At 40.5% G+C, this 12,760-nt stretch overlaps 1 protein-coding gene across 3 annotated transcripts in view, besides 3 other annotated features; it reads right to left on the bottom strand.

Annotated features, from left to right (window-relative positions):
• MAP2K5 (mitogen-activated protein kinase kinase 5) overlaps positions 1-12,760 on the bottom strand; it is a 264,412-nt gene that overhangs the window by 40,726 nt on the left and 210,926 nt on the right. The window lies entirely within an intron of this gene.
• Positions 3,123-3,172: an enhancer, noted in NCBI's record as "active region_9634". NCBI's record gives its function as "activates an Ori minimal core promoter by ATAC-STARR-seq in GM12878 lymphoblastoid cells {active_cell/tissue: GM12878}" and the evidence as "EXISTENCE:reporter gene assay evidence [ECO:0000049][PMID:35858748]".
• Positions 3,243-3,302: an enhancer, noted in NCBI's record as "active region_9633". NCBI's record gives its function as "activates an Ori minimal core promoter by ATAC-STARR-seq in GM12878 lymphoblastoid cells {active_cell/tissue: GM12878}" and the evidence as "EXISTENCE:reporter gene assay evidence [ECO:0000049][PMID:35858748]".
• Positions 3,453-3,532: a silencer, noted in NCBI's record as "silent region_6581". NCBI's record gives its function as "represses an Ori minimal core promoter by ATAC-STARR-seq in GM12878 lymphoblastoid cells {active_cell/tissue: GM12878}" and the evidence as "EXISTENCE:reporter gene assay evidence [ECO:0000049][PMID:35858748]".

Genomic DNA, 12,760 nt, shown 5'->3' with positions numbered 1-12,760 from the left:
ATTGTTAATGAAAGTCACTCTCTTTAAGACCTTGGGTGCCATACCTCACCTTAAGGGCTTTTCTTCCAGATGCTTTTCCGTTGAACTTCTAAGCACGGAGGTAAAGAACGAAGCAGTGGACACAACCTTAACCAAAAGCCTCAATCGGAGAGTCTAGTCTCAAATCAACTTTAGAGTTCTGCTGAAGGGACACAAGCTGGGTCTTGTTATCAAGCAGGCAACTGTTATGTAAAAACAGCTGCCATAAACCATTTTAGTAGGCAATTCTGGTCATCGAGGAGGACAGTTTCCAAGCCTCAGAGGTTTCAGTAACTACCTGGTCAGCCCCTTTTGCTAAACAACTGGAACACAAGCACGCAGCATGCTAGAGAACAGTGAAGGACAATAGGAAAAAGTTTGAGTGATGCCTTTGCCTTGTGAATAATGAACGGTTCAAGAAGGTCAACCCATTACAACTGAAACTGTTTAATTATTAATTATGCACAATCTATGAGCAAAAGGACAAGTTCAGAATGCTTAATGTATGTTAACTTCAACTGGACTCTCTCTGGGTATTTTGTTATTAGCACTTGTCAGCAAGGTACTCAGGCATAAAAAAAGGCAAGTAGCAGAAAATGTGTGTGTGTGTCTGTACCTGCACACTCAAAGAGCTGGTGGAGGAGACAAGGCAGGAAGAGGTCCAATTCCAACCACAGCTGCTACTAGTTCACTTACAGAGTAAGTGTGCCAATAAATACGTTTAGTGACCTTGAGAGCAGGCAGGTAAGCTGGACACTCCAAAGACAGAAAGCATCAATGAGAAAAATGCTTTTAATATTCAAGGAATATTCTTTTTTTGAAACTATAATGTATCTTGGCTTTAGAATAATCTGTGTCATTAATCTACCCTCCACCCTGCAACTCCCCGCCCCCATACAAGTGCATGTAAAACTGGTAAAATCTGAATAAGATCAGTGGTTTGTGTCTTGTATCTATGACAATTTTCTATCTACAGTATAGATATTGTACTATACTTTTTAAAAAAATTTTATTAGATGGAGTCTCGCTCTGTCACCAGGCTGGAGTGCAGTGGCACGATCTTGGCTCACTGCAACCTCTGCCTTCTGGGTTCAAGTGATTCTCCTGCCTTAGCCTCCCGAGTAGCTGGGACTACAGGCGTGCGCCACCACACCCAGCTAATTTTTGAATTTTTAATAGAAACGGGGTTTCACCATGTTGGCCAGAATGATCCCCATCTCTTGACCTCGTGATCCACTGGCTTCAGCCTCCCAAAGTGCTGGGATTACAGGCATGAGCCACTGCACCCAGCCAATACTGTACTATACTTACGAGATATTACTGTTGAGGGAAACTGGGTGAAAGGTACACAGGATCTCTCAGTATTATTTCTTACAACTGTATGTAAATCTAAAAATTACGTCAAAATAGAAAGTTTAAAAAGAAAAGGTAAGGGATAGGGACTATTTTTAAACAATTAGATGAGGCCTAGATTCTTAGCAGAACTCTGCTTGTATAAGGGAGAAGGCTGGCATAAATACTCAACTGGAAAAAAGTTAAGGGCCTTTTGCTTAAAAAAATATTCCTTAGGACTACATTTTTGCCTATAATTCATAATTAAAGGTGACAGGGGGACCTGACAATAATGTGGTGGTTAATTCAGACACTGATAAGGCATAACATAAAATACTGTGTAAAAATGATACAATCATTCATTATTCATTCATTCATTCAACAGCTTTTGTGGGCATCTACCATGTGGAACGCAATGAGCCTGGCATTGTGGAATGGCTGATACTTAATCCATATCCTCAAAGAATTTGTGTATTGTTCAGAGGGATAAGATGTACATCCCTAATAACCAGCCCTGCAGGATGGAGGAAGTGGCCACGTGAGACTGCCAAAGCTGGGCACTCAGGATGAACAGGAGGGCACTGAGGTTTTGGTTCAGTTTGGCTGGCAGACGCGAGTTCACAAACGAGGGTCATGGGGCATAAAGTAAAAGAGTCTGCAGCGTGTGAGATACCTTCTTTGCTCTCCTACTTTCTTCTTTCCTCTCTCCCAGACAGCACCTGAGGGTGGGAGGGACCTTGAATGTTGTAGTCTGGGTCCTGTTCCCTTCTCCTTATACAAAACAGACATTCCTTCAAACCTTATGCATACTGGCAGTAAAGCAAAGGAAGATGGGACAACCTCTCAAATATCTCAAGGTGTTGGCTGCACTGGTGAATTCTGAGGTCAGCTGTACTGTGGTTGGATTAAACCAGCATGGCAAGTTAAATGAAATATGGCCAGCCCTCTAACTGTTTTTTAATAGCCCACTTCTAGACTTACGGTGTCAAGCCACCAAGCCAACAGGTGTTCAACACCAGAAAATCACCTGTAGTCTGACCAATATTGAGAGTCACACTCTATAATTTAAAAGTAAATCTTTTAATTCATGTCTGACGTTCCTTTGCCCTGGCCCAACAATGTCTACTCTTAGGCACTGGGATTCATACTAATTGGCAAAGCTCTATTGGATCACTGCATTCTATCCTCAGTGCTGGGATCAAAGGTCATTTGTAATTCTAGGGGCTTCATGCCCAGCAGGATAGCGTGTTGCCTGTCAGACCCTAAATTGGTTTCTGATCCTCCACTGTTCACTGCCTTAGAGTAGCATCTTTATGACACAACTGGCAGAACCCATAGGGCAAATCTGTACTTGCTTGGGGAGAAAATCGAGTTTGTTTAAAAAAAAAAATCTAAAAAACAAAAAAATGAAAAAAAACTGGACCCTCACCTCCAAGGATCTCCATAGAAGCTAATCTTCAAACCAAAAACAACCTGTCCAAGGTGCAAACTAATGTGAGATTCTGGGAAATCAGCTATATTTTAATATTTTAAAGGTCCTCAATGTACATATCTGCTGTAACAGAATGTAGACAGGGGAGAAAAAAGCAGTCACATGTTATCAGAAGGAGAAAGGTGGGAAAGAGATGAATAGGTGCTCCTGGTCCGAGAATGAGTCTCGTTTAGAGTGTGAGTAGCCATAACTACATAGCAGATTTGTACAAATTCAATCAATGCTTGTTAAAACATTGAGTTTATTTTAAAATGTGGCCACTCCATGAAGGAACAATCAGCATTTGGACTCTAAGTTTATTTTTGATTTCATGATGCAGATAGAACTGACCTACTTCTCGGTGTGTTACAAGGGAAAACATCAGGGTGAAAGCGAGGCTTTGAACTTAGGAAGGCTGGCAGATGACATACCAGAGAAGAAAGCCTCTAACTCCGCTCAGCTGCAGAACAGAAAGCCCGCCTTTTACTCATCCTACTCCACATCAAGTCTTGAGCAGAGAAAGTGAAAGATGATTCAATTTCCACACTGGCTCACCCCATGCTCTGGGCTGCCAGGCGTGACAAATTACATGTGTGGGCATTTTGGTGTGACGTTCTGTCCACTGGGTCTGGGCTGACAGTAGCAGCTCATTTAACTTGTCTCAGATGGGCCTGGAACCACGGGGTAAAGGCCTGAATTTTTGCCACTGAAAGGCCCATCCTACCCATAAACCCTTTAATCAAGGAGAACCAGCTGTTAGCCAAGTGAACATCACTACCAGATGGCTTATAAAAAACAAAATATAAACAAACAGGTCTAAAGGAATCTGTCTCTGGGTAACTGAAGTTTGAGATTATAGAGATTTTTTTTCCTATTTTCTTTTTCTCCTAAAAGTGTTTTGGAAGTTCTTCAGTATTGGGATAAAAGAGAATAGAAATGATCTTTGTCATTAATGTCAAAATGGATTCTTCATTTAGTCTGCTTGTTTTTTTTTTTTTTTTTGTCTGTCATTTAAAAGACTTATATTTACTTAGAAATGTTGTAAACATATGGTAAAGAGCTTGGTGTTTTATTACATTTCTTGAAAATAGGTGAGTGGAGAAATGGAAAATAGGTTAATCTTTTAAACTGTATTTATAATTGCTTCCTTTCCAAAGCCAATGAGCATCTTTTTTCTCTTTTTATTTTAGGTCTCTTGTTGGTCATCAGCCATAGTGCACAGCAGTTTTTAGATGTGCCTACATGAACAGTACACACATACTCACACACTAACATCCACATACATCTCCCTTTTCAGTGGCTTAGGCAGAGCAGCAAAAAACATACTTGTCTCATACCGAAGGGATTTCATTTACAAAAGTAAAACCCGTTATTGTCCTCTTTCTCTGCAGCCTCCCAATGCATTTCTACTGCTTTTCATAAAACACTGCTGCAAATAATCAAGCATGACCACTGACATCCACAAGATTGAGTTTTAGGAACCATTAAATGAGCTCACCCTCGTGGGAAGTCTCCTGCTCAGGCTGGTCTAAAGGTAATTATTCAGCAATTCCTACCTGTGCTTTTACCTTGTTCCTATACAGTGTTTGAATTTCATACACTGGTCAGGTCAACTTTTTTCCTCAGGAAAAGTCCAGCTATACATGTTTGATCCAGTACCTAAATTATAATGTTAATATACACACTGGCATTTCAGCTGGTTCTACAGAAGTGCTGATTAAAAGCACTCTTAAAGGTAGATCATAAATTATATTAAAAACAAAACAGAAAAATCTAGGAGAGAAAAAAACCCTTAATAGGTGCCTAAATGAAAAAAAATTGATCTTTTCATAGATAAAGAGTTAAGATTGAAACATCTGAACCACATCCACACACTGTTGAAGTACAGGAACCTGGCAGGTCCGTGTCCTGAAAAACCAACAAGCCATAACACTATCAAGTCAGACTCTGAGAACTCACTGTAAATCCAAAGTCCACATCACCACACTGTATGTCCTCCTGAATGTTCACTCGACTGTTAGTTAAAATAATTACTGCCATTTGCCACCTGCACTGCCAGCTACAGATAAGGGGGGAAACAGAACTACCAGTGGCTGCGTGTATGAGTGTTGGCTTTATTTGCTTACACATTTTTAAACAAATTCAAAGGCTGCTTCAGCTGCAATTCAAAGGCTGAGAATTATACGTGAAACTGTGCTATAGTTGGTTTCATAAAATAGACAGACAGAAGGGAATTTAAAGCTGGTTTAAGGAGACACTACACCAGTTTAAAACTAGTTACTATGAGGGGAACAAAGGGAAAGAGGGAGGGAGGGAAGAAGAGGAAATGAAAAAATAGAACCACATACTGTGAAATGAACAAGTTCAGTTAGAATGTTCATCAGGATTTGGAAAATCATAATGCCATCTGCTACTCTGGACCTCAAAACATCAGGGATCTCGTGGGCCCAGACGCTTCCATTTCCAGGAGGAAGGAAGGAACTTACACTCCCTGGAATGCTGCCTCCATTCTGGAATGGAGGCAACACCCCAGCCGACCAGTTTGGAATCTCTTTTGAGAACATTTGTACTGCTCACATACACATTTTCCCTGGTTTAGAGAAAATTAACAGCCGGCAAAACGATTACAGCAACTCGGCAGTGAAGCAGAGCAGTGCCCCCAGCCCAAGCTGCTGGGTAACTGACCCTGGCATCCAACTTGGGCTCAGGGTGTGTAGGTCCCATCATGGTGGATTAAATGAGCATTGTCCTATGGCTGGGTAAGACTTCACAATACAGCAACACATGTTAAATGACAGCAGCCAAAACTGGCCCCACCAGGCAACTGCCCATTCACAGACCGCTATTCACAGGCCTCCACCACCAAGAAATTAATTCATTAATAATACATCAGGCTTCATGGACAATTCAAAGGAAATAACACAAAGCTACTTGTTCAATGACTGCCTAAAGATGCAGAATTTTTCCTGGTTAAAAAATCCCCACAAATCTAATTGACTTACTAAATCAAAATTATGGGGATGTTTATGTTAATATTTTGGTTAGTAAAAAAGAAGAAATGGATAAGGTCTATTGGCTGAATTCACTCAGTGCCACTTGGAAATAATAAAAATATAGATTTTTTTCAGCAATAGTTAATAAAATCTAATTTTATATAATTGTGTGTTTAAAAAAACTTTTTTTTACTTCAAGTGACTTTGTACATCCTTCAGACTATGAGGAAAAAATTTTCTTATAACTTGTTTCTTCTGTAACATTTTGTATTCACTTCTTTCTTACTCCTCCCTTCTGACAACTCATAAATATGAATTAAATATAATTATAAGTGAACAGAACATTAACTTTTGGATTACTGCTGTGTTTTGGTAGAATGTTAATGTCATTTCTAAAGAAACAGTTATTACCAATAGAAAAAGTAATTACTAAAGGAATCCTGGCCTTAATGCTAACCTATTTTCAATTTTCAAACCAGCCAAACTGAATTAATTTAAACACACTGGACTTTTCAAAGAAGGTATTAGATTTCTAAAGATTGCCTTACATAAAAGAGGAATATCAGTTTTCAGGATCTCAACTATATATTCCCAACACTTTGAAACACAGGTCTAGTTGACAATATCGCCGAAAGGACAGGACCATTGTGTGCATATGCTTGTATTAACTTACTGAGTTTCTAATGCCTCAGTCATTAACTAATACAAGCTGCATGCACCATGAAATCCCACATCACAAAAACCTGTTTGTGGGAGTGGTTGGAGTTAATCACTATAGTCAGACACTGTGGGTCTGCAGGTCCTGTCTCCCTTTAACCACCCGCAGTTATGTGCTGTGACAGGAACAGGCCATCCTTGGGATGCTGGGAATAGGAGTGGGATGGTGTTCCTTTTACTTCTTGCTAACTTCAGAAGCCAGAGTCATGGTAAAGTCTCTAAGGTAAAAGATGAGTGGATATTATTTCCTCTGAAGTTGGTTAATCCCATTTTTTCTTTTCTTTTCTTTTTTTTTTTTGAGACACAGTCTCGCTCTGTCATCCAGGCTAGAGTGCAGTAGCGTGATCTTGGCTCACCGGAACCTCCACCTCCCAGGTTCAAGAGATCCTCCCACCTCAGCCTCCTGAGTAGCTGGGACTACAGGCACGTGCCACCATGCTTGGCTAATTTTTGTTTTTTTTTGTAGAGATCGGGTCTCACCATGTTGCCAGGTCTGGTCTCGAACTCCTGAGCTCAAGTGATCTGCCTTCCTTGGTCTCCCAAAATGCTAGGATTACAGGCATGAGCCACCGTGCCTGGCCTAACCCCGCTTTTGAATTTCTGGGAGGTATTATTAGGCAATCATTCTTGCCATCAGCATCCCCCACCCCCCAGCACCGGCTATTTTCATACCCCAGTGGCTTCTCAGGCACCCTGCCTAGGAGTGAGTGATTCTACATGAATGAATTTTTTAAGATAACACATTTAAGAGCCAAACTTATTGTATTTCAATAGAAATCTTTCTAAAAGGATTCGCGCTCCTCCATGCCAAATTAAACAGAGTACACAGAATAGAATTCAATTAACTGAAAGATGTGCGGTCATTCATATAGACAGCAAAACTGAACTGAGTTGCAAAACACGTATGCCCTTTGAGCATGTCTGCAATGCTAAGTTGTCTTCTTTCACAGCTGTATAAAAAACCTCTTCCTTTGATGCCAAAATGTTCAGTGGTCACTTTGTACTTTCTTCAAATCAGTGATAGTATAATGTAAGGAACCTTACCCTTTGATTGTCACTCAGTTTCCTTGTCTGTAAAATAGAGTGTTGTGGGGAAAGAATGTGACAGGAAACACTGTGTAAACCACAAAGGTTAAGGCTTAGACTTCTGAATTCTGGTAGAGAACCATATCTATTAGCTAAGTATCTCCTCATCATATATTCTCTGTCACTTTTTGGATTTGTATTTCTGAGGTCTTGAAAAAAAAAGTGTTGAGATTTATGCATAAATGTCATTTGATGAATATTTACAAGAGCCTATAGGATGTTAGGTGCAGTACTAGGAAGACAGAAATAAAATGTCTAGGAACTTAGAGTCTAGTTGTTAAACTCATAATTGAATCTGGAGCAGGAATGAATATAGTTTTGAATGAGGTGCTTGGTGATCTCCCAAGAACAGAATGCTAATCATCTCATCCCTTGAAAATGCCTCTCTTTCCGTGTGCCCCATCTCAGGAGAGTACCACCATGCACCTGACTGCCCAAGCCCTGAGATTCATCCCTGACCCTACCTCCCTACCCTCCCTTATATCTAGTTATTTACCAAATGCAGTTAGCTCCATCTCCTAAATACCCTTCAAACATGCTAAGGCTGTCCTGATTAAACCCCTCCAATTTCTGATCAGAACTACAGCTTCAATGTCCTTTCTAATCCATCTTCCACAGCACTGCCACAGTGTAAAACACAAATCTGGCTACGTTGACCTCTTGCTTAAAACTCTTTCAGTCTCCCCATCCTCCCTCCCCTACAAATACCTCTAAGCATGGGGTATAAAGATCCTTCAAAATGTGGCCCTTGGTTTATATCTCATAATACTTGCCCAAACACCCCAGCCATACTGAACTCCCTGCAGGGGCCTCAGATCTCTCCAAGGCTAACTCTTATTGGCTATCCTTCAGTCTCCTCTCCTCTGCAGAGCTTCCCTGGTAGCCCCCATCTCCTCCACTGAGTTCTCTCCTCTGTGTTTCCCCAGCACCTTGGCCACACTTTAATTATAGAATTTATATGGCTACAAACATCATTAAATACCATATCGTAAATACCCATTTATGTGAGTGGTTAAAATGATAGTCACTGTGGTCCTCCGAGAGCCCAGGCCATCAAGTCTCGTATCACTTACATTACCTGCAGTTTAGTGATCTGCATATATGACTGTTTACTTGTCTGCCTCCCTGACTAGGGTAGCTGCTCTTTAATGGTGGAAAGAGCATCTTATTCATTCTCTATCCCCGGTACCGAGCTCTGGGATTAACACAGGTTTACAGAATGACTGTTTGGGCTATCATCAGTAGTTTTCAAACTATAATCTATGGAACTCTCAGTTCTTTTATGCAGGTGTGTGGGAAAGGGGGTGGAGATCTGAATCTCCCATACTCTGACCAAACCAAAATAGCTTCATGTTCATCTATTTTATAGGTTGGGTTTTTGAGCAACATAAAGGGGTCAAGGGCTTTTAGAAATGTGTGAACATCAACTATTGAATCAATGGGAAGACATAATCTGATTTGCAAATGTCTTCTAGAAATACTATTTTTATGCAAATAAAAACCACAATGAAATGTCACCTCACATTTTGTTAGGATGGCTATTACAAAAAAGTCAAAAGGTAACTAGGGATGGTGAGGATGTGGAGAAAAGGGAACCCTTATACACTGTTCATGGGAATGTAAATTGGTATAGCCATTATGGAAAACAGCATGGAGGAGGTTCCTCAAAAAACTAAAAAAAGAACTACGCTATGATTCAGTAATCCAACTTCTCGGTGTATATCTAAAGGAAATAAATCACTATCCTGAAGAGATATCTGCACTGCCATGTTCACTGCAGCATTATTCACAATAGCCAAGATAGGAAGACAACCCAAGGATCAGTCAATAGATGAATAAAGAAAATGTGGTATCGATACACACACCAAAATGGAATCTTATTCAGCCTTAAAAAAGGAAATCCTGTCATTTGCAACAGCATATGAACCTGAAGGTTCAGACAGATGAATATGCTAAGTGAAGTAAGTCAGACACAGAAACACAAAAACTGCATGATCTCACTTAATATGTAGAATCTAAAATAGCTGAACTCATAGTAGCAAAGTAGAAGAGTAGTTACCAGGGGCTTGGAGGGTGGGGGAAATGAGGAGGTGTTCGTCAAAGGGGACAAACTTACTTTTATAAGATAAATATAGCATGGTGAGTATAATTAATAATCCTGTATTATGTATTTAAAATTTGCCAAGGGAGTAGATCGTAAGTGTTATCAACACACACACACACACACACACACACACACACACACACACACACACAGTAACTGTGTGTGGGGTTAGATATATTAGCTTGATTGTGGTAATCCTTTCACAATGTATATGTTTATCAAAACATCACATTGTACACCTTATATATACTTTCTATTTGTTAATTGTACCTCAGTAAAGCTGGGGAAAAATATAACTTTCACATTCTACAAGGCACAACTGTATTCAAAACTTATGTGTATCTTTACTTTGTCTCTTATTTCTTTCTTCCTGTTCTTGATCAAAGAAAGCAGCATAAGAAGATGGTGAGAGAGAGAAAATGTTGCCATATAGGGGCAGTCTCCTTCAATCAGGAACAGGTGGTTTATCCTAGAGTTCATTTGGAATGCATATGATACTTAAAACACAGTGTCCCTTGTAGGAGCACTGTAACAATGCCAGGGTTCTGGGCCAATAGAGAGATAGGACTGTGGCAAGCCACAGCTCTAGGAAAAGGGCCTTTGTGCCCTAGTGTGGGGGAGAGATGCTGGCTTTCTCCATTAGGTTTGTAGCTGAAAAATGGGGATCAACGGGAATGCCACAGTGAGGATGTGGGGAGGACAATGGAAAGAGGGTGGACAATTGAGTCATGAGCAAGAAGACAAGGAAGGGGCATCCTTGCTGTGGGGCCTGGCCTGGGGTCCCTGATGATAAGAAGGACTAAAGTGGATTTGCTTAAGATGGAAACAGACTTTCTTGGCAAAAAGCCCTGAATTCAACAGCTCATCATTACAAAATCCCACTTATAAAAGTCTATGTCTTCTGCAAGTTCTTATGACTCTATTTAACCATAAAACTTAATGAAGACATAAGACAGCCTCTACTGTTTACTTATCTGTCTGGCTGGCATATGCACATCATTATGGTGGTACTAAAAAGAATCATTATGAATAGGGACAATCATCTACCCCACCAAACATCTGGACTCACAAGAGGCCTCACATGGACTCTTCACTTGGACATGGCTCCCCTGATGCTTTCTAGAAATGCTAGTGAAGATGACCAGTGGTGGAAGGAGGCACTGTTTGATGCCAGCCCAGGCCGGATGCTCAGTGAAGAGGATGGAGGTTAACCACATAGCTAGACACTTCTACCTATGTGAGTCAGGCAGACTAAGGGGCAGCTAATATTTCTGTTCTAGAAGAGGGTGACACTGAACAAAGGGGGATGAGAAAATGGAGGACTGGGAAAGGGAGGAGAAAAATAAGGGAAGAGCCTACTTTATAACAATGTTACTAAAAAGCTTCTAAAAGCCAGGAGTGGTGGCTCACACCTGTAATCTTAGCACTTTGGGAGGCTGAGGCGGGCGATCACTTGAGGTCAGGAGTTTGAGACCAGCCTGGCCAACATGGTGAAACCCCATCTCTACTAAAAACACACAAAAAAATTAGCTGGGCGTGGTGGTGCACACCTGTAATCCTAGTTACTTGGGAGGCTGAGGTGGGAGGATTGCATGAACCCAGGAGGCGGAGGTTGCAGTGAGCCAAGATTGTGCCACTGCACACTCTAGCCTGGGCAAACAGAGCAAGACTCCATCTCAATCAATCAATCAATACTTAATAGCTAGCTTCTAAGCTTCTCCCTCAGTCTCATTTCTCCTACTACCCACCTCAACAGAACTGTCTTAGAAAAAAATACAGATTTCAACATGTCAAACCTTCCAAGCATATCCCTTGGCTACAGGGTAACACCTACGCTTTTTGGCATGCATTTGAGATGCTCCCTGTATTTTTTTCTAGCTTCACTTTGGGCCAACCATTAGTCTTCAAAGCTGCCTCACACTTAGATACCTATGGTGGTGTCCCTCCCTCTGCTGGGACAATCTTCTCCCCACTTTCATTTTGTGAATATCAAGGTATTTCCAAAGCCCAGCTCAAATATCATCTCCTCTCTGATGGTTTGTTAGCTTCCCACATCATCCAACCTTGCACAGCACTGTTTACATAGCTTTATTATAGTTTTTAACATAATGAATCAAATCTAATTCATGAGTTTGTCTTCCACTAGATCATGAAGTCATCCAGCACAGGGATTTATCTCGGCACCTGGCAGAGATCACAGCCCAAGGAGGAGCTCAATAAATGTCCCTTGAAGTAAATAAAAATACAAATTTTTCTAGCTGTGGTAGTCTTCTACGAAATGGAATGTGGTTTAAGTGTGTCTTCTCTTTTCTTCTGCTGAAGCCCATCCTATCCAGCCAAGCAACTAAACACAGGCCATCACAGAGAAACTCTTTGCTTTCTATTTTTCTCTTTGACATTTAAAATTTAGATAAAATTCACAAAAAATAAAATTCACCCTTTTAAAGTAACAAACCAGTTCCAAAATATTTCTACCACCCTAAAAAGAAACCTTGTACCTGTGACAGTCATTCTCAATTCCCTTCTCCCCTCCAGTCCCTGGCAATCACTAAGTCATTGACTTCCTGTCTCTATAGACTTCCCTATTGTGGACATTTCATAGAATATGTGGCTTTTTGTGTCTGGTTTCTTTCATTTAGCATGTTTTCAAGGTACATCCGTACTGCAGCATTTATCAGTACTTCATTCCTATTTATAGTCCAATGTGAACTTCTGGATTCTTTCTACGTTTGGGCTATTATGAATAATGCCGCTATGAATGTTCATGTATAAGTTTTTATGCGGACATATGTTTTCTATTCTCTTGGATATATACCTAGAGGTGGAACTGCTGGGTCATTTAATTGTTCTATTTTAGCTTTTTGATGAATGGCCAAGCTGTATTCCACAGCAACTGTGGAACCATTTTACATTCCCACTAGCAATTTATGTGGGTTCCAATTTCCCCACATTCTTGTCACCAATTGTTATTTTCTGTTTTTCTTTTCTTTTTTTTTTAATTACAGCCATCCTAGTGGGCATGAAGTAGTCTCTCATTGT

Source organism: Homo sapiens, chromosome 15 (genome assembly GCF_000001405.40).
Source record: "Homo sapiens chromosome 15, GRCh38.p14 Primary Assembly".
NCBI lineage: Eukaryota > Metazoa > Chordata > Mammalia > Primates > Hominidae > Homo > Homo sapiens.
The sequence above is the reverse complement of the archived record's forward strand: the minus strand, read 5'-3'. Positions and strand labels throughout refer to the sequence as shown.